Below are 21,203 nucleotides of genomic sequence, written 5' to 3' on the forward strand. Positions count from 1 at the left end.
AGCTCCCCAGCCCTCCCCGCTGTGACCAGCAGGGCAGAAATGGGGACAGAGGGACGGAAGAGGAAACACAGTCTTTTTTTGTTTTTATGTATTCTGGAGTAAAATGTACATCCAGCTCTTATTCTTAATAATTTGGACTAAGAGGCTTTACAATTATCCTCTTGGTTCCAATGCACAACTATTTGCTAAACTTGCTTACCTACAGCAAAGCCGACCCTCACCCCATCTCTGCATTCTACTGCATTTCACCACCTCTGCTAATAACCATCACTTGGAGTAACACAAGTGAATAAAAGCAAGGGTGGCAGCTTCTTTCCTGAAGGCAGCTGAGGACACCACTGACCCAGGCCCGTAAGACTGGAAGGCTCCCCATGGCCTGGGAACTCGAGTGGGAGCACTCGGGATGCCTGGGGCCTCTGCTTGCACTACATCATCAAGTCCGTTTGATGCATCTCCAAAAGGAATATTATTGGCCATATTTTGCAAATGAGGAAACTACTAGAAAGTGTAAGAAAAGTAAACGTACACAGCGCCCCAGGGCAGATACGGAGTCCTCTAGCAAGCAGCACCCCAGGGCAGGCACAGAGTCCTCCAGTACGCAGAGCCCCAGGGCGGGCACGGAGTCCTCCAGCACACAACACCCCAGGGCGGGCACGGAGTCCTCCAGCACACAACACCCCAGGGCGGGCACGGAGTCCTCCAGCACACAACACCCCAGGGCGGGCACGGAGTCCTCCAGCACACAACACCCCAGGGCGGGCACGGGGTCCTCCAGCACACAACACCCCAGGGCGGGCACGGGGTCCTCCAGCACACAACACACCAGGGCGGGCACGGGGTCCTCCAGCACACAGCACCCCAGGGCGGGCACGGGGTCCTCCAGCACACAGCACCCCAGGGCGGGCACGGAGTCCTCTCTAGCACGCAGCGCCCAGGGCGGGCACGGAGTCCTCTGGTATGAAACACACGCTCTGAGCTCAGAGCCACTTCTCAGATTCACACATCCCATTGCCTGGATGACATGCCCTGTGCTCTTTCTCCCATGATAAACCTGACATTTTAAGGATAATCAGGCTGCTTTTTACGGTAAGTGATGCAGAAATGGCGCCTGCCTTCACCTTCATAGCTGCTGCTAAGAAGGAGATTGTTTTATTGTGATGATGATTTTAGAAGGTGTTGATTTACAAACAAAAGTAGCACCGCCAGATGGCCCTGAGGTTTTCATGGGGTACCAGTGACACATCCCATTAGCAGGCAGCACAGTGCAGGTGGTGAGCGCTCCAGTGCAGCACCAGACTCGCTTGGGGTTGAGTCTTGGCTCTTACTGTATCCTTGGGCCCGTAGAGCAGTCCCTCAGCATTTCTGGGCTTCCATTTCGCCATCCATAAGACATTCCTAATAGTTTATCACAGAGTTGTCAGGAAGGTGACAAAACCCACAGCCTTCGGTCTGGAGGAGCGCAGGAGCTGGTGAAGGACGACCCGTGTTTGCATTTTTTAGATGATTGCCGTGAGGACCACTTTCTACTGCACGAGCAGGCAGCGTTCTGGCAGCTGCTGGGTGTTTTGATTCTCGCGTAACCCTCCCTATGCCTTTAGTCATTGAGTTGAGGATATTTATTCATCAAACTTGTACCGGAGCCAGAGTCCTCAACAGATGAGGAGCCACCGGCGTTTTGCTGTCCCGTGTGTTCTTGGTTGACGGGCGTTTTGCTGTCCTGCGTGTTCTTGGTTGCTCTGGGCACCTGTCGGGAGATGCTGCCCGTTGACTCCGCAGGACGCTTCCCTTGGGATGAGTTCTCAGAAATTAGCCAATGCTGCTGCCGCATGGCCCCACGACTGGCCTGTGCCAGGCTTTCCTGCTGACCAGTTCCCTGAGGATGAAGAACCCCAGGTGAGCATGGCAGTTCAGGGGAATTCTCAGTTCTTAAAACACGTGTCTTCTCAGTTCAAGACACATTCTTGAAACTTTCTAGGGCAACGAGGGTTCCTGTGTTAGCCACTGCAGGGCTCGGGGAGCTTGCTCTCCAAATCACGGCACTGAGCTGGGCTGCGACACGTGCTCAGCTCCTGGGAGCACCTCTCCAGGCCAGGAGGGTGCACACGGGGCTGCTCCCCACACCCACCCGTGAGGATCCCCTGAGTTCCCGGTGGGAGCTGTGCAGACCACTCCTGGGTTTTCATGCCTGTCCCTTCAAGATGGCCCTTCTCCTGCCAGATCTGCCCTTGGATCCCTGAACCTTCCTAACTCTTTACAGACACAGCGAATGTGAGTGCTTCGAAAGCTACTCGTGAGTCTTTTTGAACGTGCATCCCTGTGTTCTGCTGCTTGCTGTGGGCAAGAATTTTCTGACTGATTGTTGTGAGCAGCATTTATCTTTGAAGCTGCCATTTTACTTTCTGAGACATAAAGTGGTAATTTCATAATGGAATTGTATTAGATCTTTATAACTTTCTTTTTTTCTTTTTTCTTTCATTATTATTATACTTTAAGTTTTAGAGTACATGTGCACAATGTGCAGGTTTGTTTGTTACATATGTATACATGTGCCATGTTGGTGTGCTGCACCCATTAACTCGTCATTTAGCATTAGGTATATCTCCTAATGCTATCCCTCCCCCCTCCCCATTTGCTTCAGTTGCCTCTGCATCTGTGCAGGGAGCTTTATAAAGACATTAAGGAAATACTGCATTTGGCATTTGAAAAGTCTCAAATGTGCAGATTTGAGATGGGTTCAAAGGTACAGATTGGAGATGCTGACACAGTTTCTATGCATGGATTCACCTTCATGAAGGTACTTGTTAGAGCTTCCTCTAGAAGTGTCAGGGATGCCACCATAATGCAAACTGTGGTTTTGATTATCTCACAAATTCATCCCACATCTAAGACAGGCCAAGTAAGAGGAGATGCCAGGTTTCCTGTGGAACACAAGCATGATGGTATGGAGAGCCTTACTGTTTGTTTTTCCCCAGATGGAATAAAATTCCCTGGAGTTTGAATTCTCAGAAGTAAGGTGTCAGATTCCAACCCTTTCATATCCCCCAGGGCCACAATTTTAGAGACAAAATATGCTTAGCTTCTGGGGTAGATGTGAGATTTAGCCACGGTTCAGTGCGTTTGAACACGCATGCCTATACGTCGCTGTGGCCTGGCTTCCTCTGAAGAGGATCTCACCTTAGCTCCCAGAGGTGAGTTAACTGGACGTAAAACAGACAGGTGCAAGAAGACAGTCATTCATGGCGGCATGAAAATACATTTTGTCTAACGTCACCTTTAAGTCATGACAGAATATGAGAGGAAATCAGAGGGACCATGCTGTCGTCCTGGGTGCAAAATAAAAGTCGAGTTTCGTGGGTCCTGGCCATTTCTAGGACCAGTTATATTTTTGATGAAGCCACATTGGATGTTAAGTAAAGTACGCTCTTTGCCTGTTTCTGGGTAATGGATCTGGAGGGATTGGAATACATTTTTTGTATTTTTTCAAAATATTACAATGGGCATGATAATTTTTAGCAAGAATCAGTGAAGTAATTAAAATAAAAACATTTTATGCTTTATGCTTTTCTAGAAATTGCCATTTTGTTTGTCAACCCTGTGATTTAATAACTCAATGCTTGAATGCTGCTGCGTGATAATGAGGGAAAAATGGGAATAGGAGACATGTTTGCCGTTGGGTGTGGAGTGCAAAAACACAATTGTGATTTGGCCAAAGAACAGCTCACTAGCAAATATCTACCTCCAGGGAAAACCGAGTTCACTTGCTCTAGCAAAGCTGGCTTCATGGACTGATGGGAAGATTAAGTGGTTAATTTCCATAAAGTCTGGAAGAGTGCCTGGCGTAGCTTAGGCACATCAATCAATGTAAGTTATGCTTGTGGTTATTAAAATATTGACATAAAAATGAGAGTATGCATTCAATGTCCTCTTTATTTTTAATCTTTCGGTGTCTAAAATAATGACATATTGCCAGTAATAAATTCAGCATGAACACTTACTACAGCCACTATTTAAATTCATGATATCAGTTACATAAATATTTTTGCGTTTTCACTTAGTACGGTCTTTTCATTTACTAAATACCTCTCTGGAATTATATTTATGATTTGATATTTCTGTTATGAGGAAGAAGTTGTGGAGGTCAGTGTAGGGCAGTTAAGAGAAGGACTCTGAGACAGAACACTGATGATAAGCCTGGGCCACCCAGGCAAGGATTTTCCATTACTTTTGGACCAGTCCACTGGCAATAGCATTGCTTTGGCAACTCTGAGGTGACATCACTTTGTCTCTTGTTCTCTGGGTTTTCCTCTTGACATTTATTAGGGCAGTGGACTTCTGCTCGACATCATCTTGAAAGTCTAGGCTTGTTATATTGTGTCATAAATAAATATAACTGCTATTTCCAGAAAACAGAGACACAGTCAGTTCAAAATTAGAAATTGAATGGAAGCTCCATGGAGAACCAGTGAGATGTCGCCATGATGTAAAATTTGGAAGGACAGATCCAGCCACAGGGAGACAAAGTATGTGTGAGAGCAAAGGAGCCGCTGGTTCCTGAAGTCAGGGTTGCAATCTTTGGGGAAATGTGTGGGTGGATCCGGGCAAGGTGATGGAACTGGGAGACCTGGCTAGGTGAGTGGGAGACTCTCTTAGAGCCGTGCAGTTTGATGGAAGGGGGCGTGGGGCACGAGGCGGTGGACAGAGGGCAGGATTGGGAGCACCTGGGGCTGCTACATGGAATGCTGGCTCTGTGCCATCTACCACCTGTGACCGTTTTCCATCTCTAAACCCAGATCTGTCATCTTGCAAGGCCCCTGTCACCAGCACATGCCGCAAGGTCATGGCCCCTGCCCTCCCGCAGAGGCTGAGATGGAGATGCAGAGCCCCCCGTCTGCTCAGAAGAAGGACGCAGAACATGACTTGCTTTGATGATTTCCAATAAACTTCCTCGCTGACTTTCCTCTCATCTCTTCCCCTCCCTCCTTCATTGTGTCCTTTCTCAGTTGAAAGCAGGAAAGGCAGGCAGGGAGGGGTCTTCATGTGGGGCCCTGGGAGGTGGCCAGTCAGGGGTCAGGGAGGCATTTGCTTTTGAGTTGGAGACTGATGCTCACTGGAAAACTTGCCTTTGACTCTCGTCAGAACTCTTCACAGGGCTCCAGTGGGTGCGGGTGAAGGGGCCTCCTGGGGGAAAGTAAGGGAGCACAGAGCAAATTACCCAAACACCACACCTGCAGATGCACTCTATCCCTCAGCCAGCCTCATTCCTGCCCAAGGTAACAGAGCCAGCAGGTCCTCATCACGGTGCCATGGGGACGTCCGCTCTCCTGCCCACCCCCACGCAGGTGCTGTGTGTCCCAAGTCCACCCTCTTCACCCTGGGATGAAAGAAAGGCATGCAGGAAATTCAAGGGGCCAGCTGGCTCTGAGGCATCATTGCTGGACACTGTTTTTATAACAACCACTGAGCGAGATGGTTGAACGCCGCATGCACAGAACTCCACCGGCTGAATGGTCTGTGGGCTGGGATTTGCATTCAAGTTCCATTTCCTCACAGGAACGGGTGAACTGAGTTTCATAATCCAAGGCGACCTTCTCAAGGAAGCTATTGCCTTTGGTGAGTATCACCCTGAAAACAGTGCTGGGTGTTTGTCTCTCCTCTCTCGCTGCTTGGCTGGGCAAGTGCCCTTTGCCTAGAGGGAGGGATCTGAGCCACACGGGGCTGTGAGGGACCCCATCTCCAAAGGGCTCCATTTACTGGGTTTTTATACTTCTCAGAATATTGATCAAACCATAGATTTTCTGTAGTCTCACAGCAAAGCCTGCAATCCCACCGGCAACCGCGTGACAACCTCAAGCCAGTCACCTTTCCAGGCCCAACAACTGTCCTGTGAATACAGGGTGCTCACGGGAACGGCTCCATCAGCCCCGCACGCCAGTCAGTGCCATCTCCAAATGGTCATTTGGTCTCAAGTTTAGCTTCTGTCTTAATGTCTATGGTTTTGGCTGAAGTCATATGGTGTTATTGAAGCCGAGAACAAAATCAGCAGATTTCATCTGACATTATTGCATATGGGTTCATGAGGTTTTGTGGTTTCTTCATCAAACATGTAGTTAAATGTTATGAAACGGAACCATAACAACCTTGTCCAGGAAAAATCTATGTGTCTATTGAGGCACCAAATGTGCTTTCAAGCTGAATGGTTGGCAGGGCTGGAGAAGATTAGCCTAGAGTTTAGTAAACCTGCCCAGGTGAACCACTGAATCTTGCAATTAAGTTGCTTCTAATGACTTCACATTTGGGAACAAAAATAAACTTTAAAAAGAGAACTAGTACAAAAAAAACAGTGTCCTTCTGACTATTCTAACGCCCCAGAGGTCAGATGTTGAATTGCAGCTTTGACCAATTTCCATGGGAGAATTGCACATTTAAAAAAATAAACTTTTCTTCAAAGCTAGTGAGGCAGAGGGAGACACCTTCATCTCCCTCCCGCCCTTCTTAGCTCCTCCAGGGCTGGCCATCCTGTCTGCAACGCGGATTCTTCTGCATTTACACATGTGATATTTACAGTGAATGAAAGCTTTATACTCATTATTCATAATAATAATATCAAGTGCCTCTTAGTTCCAGGAACTGTTTCTCTTCATTGCCCCCCTCTTTAAGTTAACATGCAGGGAAAGAAAGAAAGAAAAGAAAAAGAAAAAGATTTCTACCAGATACGAAGCTACAGTGAGAAGGGTTCTGCCAGCAGCCACGTTCCTCAGCCCAACTCATTAATTCTGTGCCCCTGAGTCACAGCCGCCGGACAGAGCAGAATCTCTCCCTGGAGGCATTTCTATGCCAGTGAGAAGGACAGTGGCACCAAACACGCAGAGTGCACAGTCACTGGTGAGCACCAGGGAGGGCAGAGCGGAGGGCTCTCATAACGGACCCCAGGAGGGATATCTGGGTTGTCCTGCTGCTTGTGGGACAGACACCCTCCGGGCACAGGGGCAGTGCCTGCAAAGACCCTGAGGCCGGCGCTTGCCTGGCCTGTTTTGGGAACAGTCAGGAGCCCCTGTGGCTGTCAGGGAAGGGGGATGTGGTTCCAAGACCCCAAGGGAATGGCCCTGACCCTGAGGAGGGGAGAAGGTCTCAGGCAGATGATGAGATGGCAGGCACTGCCCTAGCTATGGGAGGAGATGGGCCAAGTGGCCGAGGGACACAGGAGTCCGCAAGGATGCAGGACCAGGGTGGTGCAGTGCAGCCTCAGAGATAGCAGGGCGGTGAGAATGACTGGCCCTGGGGACCTTGGCAGGTGAAGGTGACACTCACCAGAGGTTTGTGGCCTTTGCACCTGGAAGATCAGAGCTTCTCTCTCTGAGATGAGCTGACACAGCATGCCAGGCAGAGACAGCCTCGGAAGTCTGGAGGTCCTGAGACTCCCCTGGAAGGAGGACACAGAAATGAGGTGGGAGATGTCTGGGGGCCTCGGGGTGCTGGGTGTTGGGGAGTCAGGGGACAAGAGGGCAGGCGTGGGTCACTTCTCTCATAGAAAAGCCATTTTGGAAATGCCATGTTTGAAGTAAGTATGTTCTAATATTTCAGAATAGACAAATCTCTACATTCCTAATGACTTTCTAGCTTGTGCAGATAGCCAGAGCTTCCTGGAGTGGCCTGGGATTTTGCTGCAAGTATCATGAGGAATTTAGGACAGGAAGGAGGGTGAATGCCCATCTGTCTTCTGAGAAGCCCTTGCCAAGCTCTGCCTCACTGGAGCAGGTGCCTGGGCCTCCATGCCCTGCAGTGGGAGTCACTGGCCCAGTGTTGGGAGAGCTGCAGGGCTGGAGACCCGATTGGGGTCACAGTGGCGTTAGAGCAGAGGATGGCTTGGCTCCAGTTTGGCTGATTTAATGCCTTGACTCTCACCACCGCATCAGGAAGCCTCCACTGACATTTGCCTTTTCTGATAGCTCACTGATGCCAAACTCCAATCTCCTGTAGGGATGAATCTGAATATAGATATAGAAGCTGGACCCTTGGGAGAAAGTAAACTCAAAAATCTGTTGTCAAAAATTGCTTGCCAATCACTTTCTGATGGTTTGAAATCATTTGGAAGACTTTCAAATACACAGTTTTGTTCAACAAGAATGCAGGTCATTGTCCTTAATTGTTAATACTTGTTTGCTGCACACTGGACATCTAGCAGGTGTCAGGCTGCATTGTGGTAGCCCCGAGAGAGTCAGAAGGGAACTGCACAGGCATGCACAGTGCACATGGCAGAGGCCATCCAGCTCAGGGAAGAGAGGCACGTGTGTGCAGAGAGCTACAGCACAGCAAGGAGAGACACACACATGCAGAGAGCTACAGCACAACGTGGCCAGGATGTGGGGAAACTGGAGGCACAGGAGAAGACAGAGCCGAGGATTCCTCAGTGGACAAACTGGCCTGTGAGCAGAAACAGAAAAGCTCTAAGCACGTCCACTGGGCTAATGGCCAGGAGGGAAACCATCCTAGCAGGGTTCATTCAGGAGCAGGACCGAGCCAGGTGCCCAGTCATGGTGGTGAACTGCTGTGTCTGGTCTCTCTATGCAATCTGCAATTCTAAGCTCATTCTATTAAAAAATGTATCTCTTAATTTTAAAGACCACCTGAAGATTTACATTTTCTAGCTGCACATATCCTATAGAGGGAAATATTTATTTCATCTCTCTGGGATTTTTCCAGGAACTAAAACCTCAGGCACCAAAACCTCAGGCACCATCTGCACTTCACCCGGGGGTCTCCTGTCAGATACAGATTCTGCAGCTCTGCCCTCTGGCTGTCCACACCATTGGTGCTGCACCAGAGCTGACCCTTCACAGCTACTTAGTGGTTACTTGGAGTTGGTAAAATAATGGATACTTGGACCTAAATCAAACTTTTTATTTATCAAAATAAAAAAAAATGCCCTTAAAGATCATCAGGTTTAGTAGCTTTCAAACATCTTCACCATGGAATCTGTGCCCCAACTCAATCTGACAAGGAAGCCTGGAGCATAAGACACACATCACACTGGGGCTGGCTGGGCAAAGGTTATGGAGGCTGGTTGCTCTTACCAGCCTCCTGCTTCCCATGCCCAGCCCCCTAGTGGCCAGGGACACCCTGTCCAGTCCCTGGGATTCAGAGAACCCAGCTTTAAATGACACTGCAGTTTACTGCTGAAGCCAATGACGGGGCCATCTCTGCCTCAGAGCCTGGCCAAGTGCCCGTCCAGTCATCTGTGGTCACGCCCATGCAGGGGGGTGTGCTCCTTACAGATGCCATTGCACCCACAACACATAATTGGGCAGAAAGAAAAGAGAAGGCCTCTTTCTCTGGCACAGGGTACCTTCTCCAGGACTGCAGCAGCATGGCAGCATAGCCAATGGCACAGGTTGGGCATCTCAATCTTGTCCTGGGTCAGGCCTTAGCAGCTGTGGAACCTTAGTAAGTTACTTGTTACTTGGTCTTTCCAAGCTCTGATGTTGGCTTCACATGGAGCTTCGTGGGGCTCAATTACCAAGTGACCTGCACTGATTAAGTGCTCAATAAATGTTTGTGATGAGGAGGGTAATGATGGTGATGAAGATGATTGATGATGAGGATGATGGTGAGGAGAGGGAGGATGAGGATAATGATGGTGATGAAGATCATGAGGAGGAAAGTGATGAAGACGATGAGGATGATGGTGAGGAGGAAGAGGGTGATGGTAATGAAGATGATGAAGATGATGGGGAGAAGGAGGATGATGGTATTGGAGATAATGAGAATAATGGGGAGGAGGAGGATGATGGTGATGAAGATGATGATGAGGATGGTGGGGAGGAGGAGGATGGTGATGAAGATCATTGATGATGATGATGGTGAGGAGGAGGATAACAGGGATGAAGAGGATGGTGAGAATGATGGGGAGGAAGAGGGAGATGGTGATAGAGATGATGAGGATGATGATGATGAGGATGACAGAGATGAAGATGATGTGAGAATGATGATGAGGAGGAGGGGGATTGTGATAGAGATGAGGAGGAGGATGATGGGGAGGAGGAAGATGAAGACAGGGATGAAGATGATGGTAAGAATGATGGGGAGGAGGAGGAAGACGGTGATAGAGATGATGAAGATGATGGGGAGAAGGAGGAGGATGATGGTGATGGAAATGATGGTGAGGATGATGGTGAAGAGGAGGGGGATGGAGAAAGAGATGATCGTAAAGATTATGGTGAGGAGGAGGAGGACCATGGTGATGAAGATGATGATGAGCATAATAGGAAGGAGAATGATGGTGATGGAGAAGATGATCAGGAGAAGGAGGATCATGGTGATGAAGATGATGACGAGGATAATGGGGGGATGGAGGAGGATGGTGGTGAAGATAACGGTGAGAATGATGGTGAGGAGTAGGAGGATGGTGATAAAGATGATTAATGGTAAGGATGATGGTGAGGAGGAGGAGAAGGACAATGGTGATGAAGATAATGATGAGGAGGACAATGGTGATGAAGATGATGAGGATGATGGCGAGGAGGAGGATGGTGATGGATATGATGTTCGGGATAGTGAGGAAGAGGAGGATGGTGTTGAAGGAAGATTATGATGAGGATGATGATGAGGAGGAGGAGGAGATGGGGATGAAGATGGTGATGAGGATGATGGGGAGGAGGAAGAGGATGGTGATGAAGATGATTGATGATGACAGTGATGGGGAGAAGAAAAAGGAGGATGCTGATGAAGATGATGGTGAGAATGATGATGATGAGAAGGATGGTAATGGAGATGATAATAAGGATGATAGTGAGGAGGAAGAGGATGGTGATGTAGATGTTTGATGTTGAGGATGATGGGAGGAGGAGGAGGATGGTGCTAGAGATGACAATAAGGATGATGGTGAGGAGGAAGAGGATGGTGATGAAGATGACAGTGAGAATGATGATGAGGAGGATGGTAATGGAGATGATAAGGATAATGGTGAGGAGGAAGAGGATGGTGATGAAGACGATTGATGAGGATGAGGAGGAGGAGGATGGTGATTAAAATTATGTTGAGGATGATGGGGAGGAGGAAGAGGATGGTGATGAAGATGATTATGAGGATGAGGAGGAGGATGGTGATTAAAATGATGTTGAGGATGATGGGGAGGAGGAAGAGGATGGTGATGAAGATGATTATGATGAGGATGATGATGAGAAGGAGGAGATGGGGATGAAGATAACGATGAGGATGATGATGAGGAGGAGGTGATGATGAAAATGATGAGGTGATAGGGATGACGACAACGATGCAGCTGCATTCTTTCAGTTTCCACACCATGCTCTTCCAGGTCCCGTCGAGCTGGGCTGCTGTCTGAAGGCGCAGGGCTGGCATCTCCTGTGTCTGCCATCCCAGGCTCCACAGAGCCGCACATGCTAGCAGAACTCGGGAAGGCTGAGAGCTGGGCTGACGGGTTTTAGGTTTCATAATTCTCTTGTGTGAGCTCATTAAATCAAGTGTGAAAAACTAAGAAGGCACATGAATTCTATTTTTAAAATAGAATGCCCTGGTTCTTGCGTCATGGTTTTTATTTTTTTAACTTCATTGACTTAGAGTTGTTGGGGATGTGGCTAAGCAATAATAAGGCAAAAAACGTGAACTGGGAATTGGCTGCTTCTGTCACCGCCGGCTCATCCATCCTTCCTTCAACAGGTGCACTCACCCTCCTGGGGCCAGGTTGCACGCACAAGCTGGAGACTCCAACCTCACGGAGCTGCCCCTCCAGTGGAAAGAGGCAGGAGCCACACCACCCACAGGTGGATAAGTAATCTCGGATAGCGCCAGGGGCTGCAATGGAAATTAAAATGGAAACAGGACCAGCAGCCATGGGGCTGGGCAGCCCAGTGTTTTTAGGCAGAGGGGTGAGGAGGCAGCCTGGGGCTGATGCCTGGATCTGAAGAAGGAGTGAGCTGTGTGAGATTTAGAGAGTCATGCCAAGTGGAGGGAACAGCAGACTCAGTGGCAGCCAGGGGAGGAAGCGGTGTGGGGAGGTGGGAACGGTGAGGTGGGCATGGGGATGTGGGCACGGGGAGGTGGGCAGTCTCTCCATGGCCTGCCTTGAGAAGGAGAGGAGAGGACGAAGGCAGGACATCCTTGTTTTTAAGGCAGGAGCTTTATTATTGTTATTTTTTAACGTAGAAGAGGTTAAAGCTTGGTCTCTGCTATTGAGGTAATATGTCTGGCGGGGAAGTGGAGGCTGTGGGATAGACAGATTTCAGGGGCACGACTCTGGAGTCCGGGAAAGGGATGCCGCTATGCCTGGTGTCTGTGCAATGCCCAGAGGGGTGGCCCTGGGCTCCAACAGGAGTGGGGGTGTTTCCATCTGTCAGAGGGAAAATTGAAGATGTTTCAGGAAGCTTGGTGGCTTCTGCATTTTCCCCAAAGCAGGTGCCGCGTGTCACCAAGAGGAAAAGCCATCAGCTGAGAACTGAGGGTCTCCAAGGGCATTTGGGGGGTTGAGGAGGAAAGAATGAAATGTTCCCTTGGAGACATATCCTGGGATTTTGGGGAGAGTGGAGTCCAGAGAGAGAAGGAGCAGCACCTGGAAGGAGGCTGAACGTGTGTGCGAGAGTCAGTCAGTGCTCCCCTTGCATCCATTCGCATGCACGGCCGGGTCTCTGCCGACCTCCTCCAGGCCCCCAGCCCTTCCCAGGCTAGCCTGCCTCCTGCCTCACAGAGGAAAATCACACGCGCAACCGCAGCTCGTACAGCAGGTGGGTCCATGGCCACGTTGATGTTAAAACGTTCATTTTTGGAAGGCCCAGAGGCCAGAAGACAGCTCAGGCAGCCTCCCCACGGCGGCGCACGCTGTCAGATGCGACCCAGCCTCACTTAAAACTTCAAAGACACGCGTTTCAAGGTGGGCCTGGAGTGCTGTTCTTTTCACTGATTTTTCTCAGTTTGTCGTCCGTTGAGTGGATTCGGAGCTCTTTCATCTGGGCGGTCACATCATCCACTCATCCTGCAGAACCAACAAAAAGCCACAGTTGCACTGGACCGTTTCCCGCCATTTTTCCTACGTGTGTGTGGCTGTCAGAAAATGACCCATATTTACTTTGAAATAATACTTCCCGCCTTTGTTCCATGTAAATCTAATTTATGTTTACTGTTGATTTAAGGAAGTGCAGGCAAGGATATGGAAGAAATTTAAATAACTTCTGTTTCTGCCACCCAGAGAGAACCTACTGTTAACATTTTCTGTCAGGCTTTTTATACACATATTTATATAATTGAGATTATTCTGTATATACAATTTTAGTCTTTGTTCCCTCCCGCCCCACCCAGTATTACTTTGTAAGTAATGGAGCCCAATCTGTGGTTCCCCCACGATAAAGTTATTCTTTACTCTCATTGAACATATGAACACTTTCTTATTTTTAAAAATTCTTATTCTTTAGTACTACAAATAATACTGTGGCAAAATGTTTTATACCTTTTCCTGAAATGGCGATTTTCTTGAGTCCTACGGGAAGTTTTACCAGGTCAAAGCTCAGGAACTTAAGGTTTGGGCTTGCAATGACACCTCACATGAAGTGCTGCTGGAATCAATATTTTTGGAGACTTTTCTTAATTCTTTAGTTTCTTAAGGGTAAAGAGTGGCAGAAAAAATATACTCTCTTCTGTGATGGTTCTCTGTGATTTCATTTTGAACTTGGGGATTGGTGAGAGTGCAGTGTGAGTGAAACGGTGTGAGTGACACAGTGTGAGTGACACGGTGTGAGTGACATGGTGTGAGTGACACGGTGTGAGTGACATGGTGTGACCCGAAGTGGGTGGAACTGTGCTTCCTACAAAGGTGTGTGGGATTTGTGTTATTCCTAACCCCGAAACCTGTGAACATGGCCCCATTTGAAAACAGGGTCTTTGCAGCTGTCATCAGGCTGAGTCATTAGGGTGGGTCCTGGTCCAGTGTGACTGGCGTCTTTATAGGAGGGGAAGAGATCCAGACACTGGGGAGGAGGCCGTGTAACCATGGAGGCAGGGTGGGAATGATGCATCCACAAGCCGAGAAACCTCAAGGATGGGTGCTACCCCCAAAGCTGGAGAGACTTGGAGGGGCCCTCCCTTAGAGTCTTAAAGGAGGCCAGGGGCCTCATGGCACCTTGACGTCAGACCTCAGTCCTCCAGAGCTGTGAGAGGACACGTCCCTGTGCTCTCAGGCATTCAGGCTGTGGTCTGCTTTGGTGGCAGCCCTGGGAAGCCAATGTGGTATCCAGACACACTGCTGCAAAGTCTCCATGCTTCCCGGTCCCAAAACCTGTGCGGCAGGCTCCACACCCACATGAGTCCCCCAGGGGCCCGTGTGGCATCCAGACACACTGCTGCAAAGTCTCCATGCTTCCTGGTCCCGACACCCGTGCGGCAGGCTCCAAACCCGCATGAGTCCACCAGGGGAGGGTTCCCGCCATCTTGGTTTACACATATGGGTCCACCAGGGGAGGGTTCCCGCCATCCTGGCTTACATGGATGGTGATGTGGGCTGACATTGTGTTCACTTTTGCATAACCTGTATCTCCTAACCTGATGTCTACACATAGAATGTGCTTCCAAAATGCCTGTTTCATTAAATTGAGGGATTTCAATGTGACAGATAATGGTGTTTGAGGCATGGTTGTTCTCTGAGAATAAAAGGTCATGAAGAAGTTCCAGGAAAGAAAAAATCCAATTATGTTATATGTTATTATCTTTTTGTTCTTCTTCTTCTTCTTTTTTTTTTTTTTGAGACAGAGTCTCACTCTCTCTCCCAGGCTAGAGTGCAGTGGCCTGATCTCGGCTCACTGCAACCTCCGAGGTTCAAGCAATTCAATTCTTGTGCCTCAGCCTCTTGAGTAGCTGGGATTACAGGCATGAACCACCATGCCCAACTAATTTTTGTAGTTTTAGTAGAGACAGGGTTTCACCACATTGGCCAGGCTGGTCTCAAACTCTTGGCCTCAAGTGATCCGCCCACCTCATCCTCCCAAACTGCTGGGATTGTAGGCACGAGCCACTGTGCCAGGCTCAATTATGTTTTCAAAGTCTTCCTGAAGTGCCTACAACTTGACAAACCTCTAGCTGGGTAAGAGGTGCACAAAGATGGGTGAGACCTGGGAACTGCCCCAAGGGCTCACTGCAGACAGGAAAAGAGACACCTGGACATCCCCTGACCCCAGGTGGGCTGAGCAAAGAAGACAGCCCCAGCCAGTGTTCACAGAAGGACAACGCCATGGCACAGGTGGAGGAAGCGGTGGGGATGCCCTGGGCTGGCCTGGTATGAGAGAGTGGGGCAAGGACGAGGCAGAGAAATCTTTCCATAATTACTTCGGGAATTTGACATTCACAAATGTTTATCCTACACAAATCTCATTTTGAATTGTAATCTCTCATGCCTTGGTGCTGTCCTTGAGCGAGTGAGTTCTCCCGAGACCTGGTTGTGTGAAGTGTGTAGTGCCCGCCCTGTCTCTCATTTGCCCCTGCTCCTGCTTCACCTTTGGCCATAAGTAAAAGATCCTGGAGGCCTCCCCGGAACCAAGCAGATGCCCACGCCACACTTCCTGTGCAGCCCGCAGAACTGTGCACCAATTAAACCTCTTTTCTTTATAAATTACCTGGTCTCAGGAGTTTCTTGAGAGCAATGCAAGAACAGCATATCGTACACATCTTCTGCTCTGATAAAATCTGGTTTGATCAGTAATAAAGAATGTGAAGACATGGATATAGAAAGAATTCAGAATCCCTAAAGAAACAAATATTAGTCCACGTGTATATAGTATTCTCTGGGAACCTTGTTTGTGAGTTTCTGCTCCAGTGGTTCATACAGGGAAGATTAGAAATGTGGCTGGTGAGGGATGCAGACGCTCATTGTGTCATCAGCTGTGGACTTTGCAGACGCCTTTGGGTTGAGCAGCAATTAGGCAGAAACCTCTTGTCTGTGCCTGCCCTGCATTTAAAGTGTGGAAGATCCTTCTCCTGTCTTCCACCCGATTCGAGGTCAGGGTTGAAATTGCCTGGGTTAATTTTCTTTTCTTTCTTTCTTTTTTTTTTTTTTTTGAGGACGGGGATGGAATGTACAGCACCTGACATGAAGACTGGGCTGTCACATTTACACATCAGGTAAGTCTATCTGCTCGGGCTGAACGGTGTCCACCTAGAGAAAGCAGAATCTTTTCTGTACTTCCACCCAAAGAGAGTGCCTTTCTCTAAGTTGCAAAAAGACTCTCTCTAATACAGAGACCTGAATGTTAGAAAGAGATTTCTTTCTTTCTTTCTTTTTTTTTTTTTTTTGATAGAGCATTAAATCCCTTCCAACTTGAATAGCCTATGAGTAGACAGCCGCATGTTACAGAGAACACAGACTCTGAGGTTAGACAGGTAGGGTCTGGGGCCTGGTTCTGGAACTTAGGAGCTGCATCGACTGAGGACTTGCCTAAACACCCTGAACCTCAATTTCTTCATCTGTAAAGAAGAAGAATCCCTATTGCTATGGGAAAAATTATGTGCCTCCAAAATTCATATGTTGAAGTCCTAATCCCCAGGACCTCAGAATAGGAGTCTATTTAGAGATAGGGTATTTATAGAGATAACCAAATTAAATGGTATTATTAGATTGAATCCTACTTCAATATAACTGGCATCCTTATAAAAAGGGGAAGTTTGGGCACAGAGAGACACACACAGAGGGAAGGCATTGTGAAGACAGGGAGAAGATGCCACACAACTGGAGTGATGCAGCCCCAAGCCAGGGCACACCCAGGGTCCCCGGTAAATGCCAGAAGCTGGAGGCAGCCAGGGGGATTCTGCCCTGGAGCCTTCGCAGAGGGCACGGCTCCGCCCACACTTAGATTTCAGAGTTGTAGCCTCCAGAGCTTTAGGCAAACACAGTTTGGTTATTATATGCCACACGATTTGTGGTGCTTTGCTAGGGCAGCCCCAGAGACACACACATCCCTGATCACAGTGCTGTTGTGAGGTACGGGAACACCACTGTGTGCTTGGGGAGTACCCAGTTCCCAGTGTCCTTTCCTCACTAACCCTAAAGTTCTTCAAAAGGCCAAGTGCTAAATAGTGACCAAGAGGATGGGGTCTGTGAGAATGTAACATCGAGCATTTTTAAATGTGGAAAATATATAGATCTTCTCTGCATTTCTCTGAGGATACATAAGAAGCAGAGGTTTAGCCTGCAGGGATACCGTTTAACTGCACGTTTTCACTGTAGAAAAAGTTTTGTCATCATAACTAGTAAAAGTAATTAGGTTTAGATTAGCATAAAAATAAAAATACAGTATTAAAAAAATTGTGCTAGGACTGTAGCCTCCTAAGAAGAGTATTAATATAGTCCACATTTGAAAAACAAAAACACTGGACTAGATGTTTTCTACTTCAACTGGGCAAAGACAGGAGGAATAGATGCAGGCCTAAAGGATAGGAAGGCAATGAAGACAGAATTGCTCATGGAGTATAAAAGGAGGATGATGGGAAACCTAATGCTTCTTAAAGTGGAAGGGTGAGGAACAGTGAGAGAAAATGTGACAACAACTCCAGATGCTGAGACCACACAACTTATCAGGCAAGTAGGAGCCCAGGCAGTGCAGGCAGGAGCATCTCATTGCGCCGTCTCCATTCCAGGTCTTCTCTGCTCTGTTCTCCAGCTAGCTCTGCAACCAGAGCTGACCTCCATGGCTGGCACGTGAAACATCTTTTCCCCCTGGACCCCACAGGGGTCATGTCAGGGCAGGTGCCAGAAAGAGGTCAGAGATGAGAGCCAAGAAGGAAAGTGAGTTCTGGCCCAGATACTCTAGTGAATGGTGCTCCCCATAGAATGACCAAGTGGAGATGGACCTACAGGTCGAAATTCTCTAGTGATATGGTTTGGCTGTGTCCCCACCCAAATCTTAACTTGAAGTGTATCTGCCAGAATTCCCACGTGTTGTGGGAGGGATCTGGGGGGGCAGTAATTGAATCATGGAGACCTGTCTTTCCAGTGCTATTCTCATGATAGTGAATAAGTCTCACAAGACCTAATGGGTTTATTAGGGGTTTCTGCTTTTGCTTCTTCCTCATTTTTCTCTTGCTGCCACCATGTAAGAAATGCCTTTCACCTCCTGCCATGATTCTGAGGCTCCCCAGCCATGAGGAACTGTAAGTCCAATTAAACTTCTTTTTCCTCCCAGTCTCAGGCATATTTTTATCAGCAGCATGAAAACGGAATAGTACCTCTAGTGAGTGGGTGCTTCCCATGGAATGACCAAGTGGAGATGGACCAACAGGTCCAGATGCTCTCGTGATTGGATGCTCCCTGCCAGCTGACCTATGGAAAGGATAAAAAGCAGAAACCAAAGAGGACAGTTTAGCCTCCTTTACTGAACAACTGTTGCACCAAAGTGTTCCAGGTAGTGAACCAATAGAAAGCCCAGAAAATGGAAAATCACCCATTTGGAGTAAATGTGCACATTATTTGATTGCAGCACTGAAAACCTGTTTTACTCAAGCCGCAAATGAACCTCTGCACTTCCGTCTTGCCCTGGGTCCCTTGGAATAAGCTTGATTTAATTATCAAATTACATGGAAAGAAATAAGGCATCTAAAAAGTTGTTTTTTCTTCTGTTACAAGTTGTGCTTCTTAGCCAAAACAGTACAGGTTTCTCTATCTTTTCCTTAACTCATCAGAGAGATTCTGCAATGTAAATGTAGCTTTGAATGCTAGGAATGTTCTCCTGTGAATGGTGGGGTTGGCTATTAGTTGTCTGCATATCTCTGTAACTGCAAGCTGAGTGGGGTGATGAAGAGCAGATATTTCCTACGAGAAGCTCAGCAGCTGTGAGGAGCAGACCCTCAGCCCCTCCACTCACCTTCCCCCATTATTTACCAATGTTGCATCTAAACCAACCATGTGATTTAAAGTTCTGAAGACATCTGTACTTTATGTCTGCTTTATTATTATTATTTTGGTAGGCTCTTACTGGAAAGGTGGGTCATTGCCTGCATCCTGCCAGTTAAAGGGTTTTTTCCTAAAAATGACATGAAACCATCTGGAGTGCTATCTCCTGCCTCTCCAGGTAACAGCCTCTGCTGAGTGACCAAGGTGCCTTCTGGCTGAGACCAGGCATGAGGGCAGCACACACTTCCTTGACAGCATCACCTGAGACAAAAATCACTGAGTGTTCCCCTCCAGGCCAGTCAGTGGTTAGGGTGAGACCTAAGCTGGGAGCTGCAGCCTCTAGGCCCCAGCTACCAGGCACCTCCCAGGCTGCATTGAGCTTGCAATTGGCCCCCATCCTCATGGAGCTCTCTGAAGGCCTCTGTCATGGAGAGAGTTCCAGGGACTGCCTGGTAACAGCTTCTGCTGAGTGACCGAGGTGGCTTCTGGCTGAGACCAGGTGTGAGGGCAGCACACACTTCCTTGACAGTATCACCTGAGACAAAAATCACTGAGTGTTCCCCTCTAGGCCAGTCAGCAGTGAGGCCAAGACCCAAGCTGGGAGCTGCAGCCTCTAGGTCCTGGCTGCCAGGCACCTCCCAGTCTGTGCTCAGTTTGGAATTGGCCCCATTGTCACAAAGCTCTCTGAAGCCTCTGTGATTGTGAGAGCTCCAGAGGCTGCCTTGGCACCTACAGGATTAGCTCTGGACCTGTGGCATCCCCCTGAAAGGAGAGCCCTGTCCTTGCCCTTTCACCCATTGTGAATTGAGTCCAGAGAAACAAAGCGCCCAGGGCCACGGGCTGGCTCCAGCCTCCTCCCCTGCACTCCTGCATGCACCCCACTGTCAGGAGGACCAGGCCCTGGTTGGGGCTCTGAGCAGTTACCTGAACCCACCCATGAGGGAGACAGCCATGTGGGTGCGAGCCCCTGCAGGAAACCAGCACCCACCTGGGCAGCCATCCTGAAGGGATCTGTGCAGGAGGGAGGCTGCCCAGGGCCAGGTGCCTCCAGCCCTGACCTGGCCTTGGGAGTCTGGTCCCAGCCCCCACAGCCCAGAGCCATCAGCATGGATTCAGTGCTGCTCCCCGTGAGGGATGGCATGACTGTTGCTTGATTAAAGGAAACGTTTCTTTTTGAATCAAATCATACTGCATAAACCCCAAATTGTCCCAAGCCTGCCACACATGCAGTCACTTTCCCCCAGAGAGCTGAGGCCTCGGCCTGGGGCTGAGACCACCCTGCGCTTTTAGCAGCTCCTGAGCCTCCCTGGGGAGAATCAGTGCCTGTGTGTGGAGCTGAGGTCTTCACACAGCAGGGGCACAGCTGTGGGAAAGCCTGGTTCCCTGCTGCTTTCCACAACCACCCTTTTCCAGCCCTGCAGGATTTAAATGAAGAAAAGCAAACACAGCCATTCAGGTCAGCATTTTTTTCTCCCTCTCCCTTATTATTTCTTCTTTGTTTACACTCAGTATAAGCTGACTGTGGATCGTGATTGGAAAGTCGAGATTGAAAAAGCCTATTCCAGTGCACCTGGTGTCCTCGGGTGAAGCTGGAAGGGGGCGAGGACCAGAGACCCCAGGGGATGCCTTCCCAAATAAGAAATGAACAGTGGCTGAAAACCAAATGCATGCTTAACACAAGCCCAAAGCTTCCTCTCCCCTGTTTAAAATGACACTGCACACATCTGTTATCTAAATAAAATTGACGTATCAAATACTAATATAATGACTTGACTCTGTTTAGAATAAATACCAGACAGAGATCCTGGCTCCCCATTTGGTGGGGGTACCTCTTGCTTCCCTTGCTGGGCGGCCCCAGCCCCATGGAAGGTTTACTCCTAATGGAAGCCTCATTTTCAAAGCTCTGAGGTTGGTGAAGGCATGGCAGGAGGATGATCTTTCTGTCAAAGCCTCATGCCCAAGAAGACTAGTTTTCTCAGGAAATAGAATAATTTAAATATTTCTAAGATATACTGATAAATTATATTTTCTCATCTGGTGCAAGAACTGTTGTGCCGGACACAGACACAGGCCATTCCCCGGGCTCCAGTCTCCCTCCACCCCAAAGCCACAGTGTCACGAGGAGGAAGGTGAGCACAGGTGCGGAAAAGACAGGGACTGACTGTTCCCAGGGGCTCGAGCCTCGAGCCTGGCCAGAGTCCCAGGCACAGGCTCCCCGGAGTGGAGCCACAGGATGGATGAGTTTGCGCTCAGAGGAGGCAGTGGGAGGAGGGGTCTGCGGAGCATGGCTGGGAGGCGGGGCTGAGAGGAAGAGGAGGGGGAATTC

General features: G+C 48.7%; 1 long non-coding RNA gene across 3 annotated transcripts, besides 1 other annotated feature; it reads left to right on the forward strand.

Annotated features, from left to right (window-relative positions):
* Window positions 1-947: 947 nt before the first annotated feature.
* On the forward strand, window positions 948-13,623 carry LOC105378143 (uncharacterized). Of its 3 annotated transcripts, none has more exons than XR_001744472.2 (4): window positions 948-4,520; window positions 4,791-6,882; window positions 7,292-7,444; window positions 11,674-13,537. It is a non-coding gene; the product is annotated as an uncharacterized LOC105378143 (long non-coding RNA). The 3 variants fall into 3 exon arrangements; XR_007059887.1 differs by having other exon boundaries at window positions 948-5,610; window positions 6,658-6,882; window positions 11,674-11,980; XR_943296.3 differs by having other exon boundaries at window positions 948-6,882; window positions 11,674-13,623.
* Window positions 11,853-12,053: a silencer, noted in NCBI's record as "fragment chr6:169116900-169117100 (GRCh37/hg19 assembly coordinates)". NCBI's record gives its function as "represses an EF-1alpha promoter that drives an FKBP-Casp9 reporter gene in an ReSE screen in HepG2 liver carcinoma cells {active_cell/tissue: HepG2}" and the evidence as "EXISTENCE:reporter gene assay evidence [ECO:0000049][PMID:32094911]".
* Window positions 13,624-21,203: the final 7,580 nt, after the last annotated feature.

Source organism: Homo sapiens, chromosome 6 (assembly GCF_000001405.40).
Source record: "Homo sapiens chromosome 6, GRCh38.p14 Primary Assembly".
Classification (NCBI taxonomy): domain Eukaryota; kingdom Metazoa; phylum Chordata; class Mammalia; order Primates; family Hominidae; genus Homo; species Homo sapiens.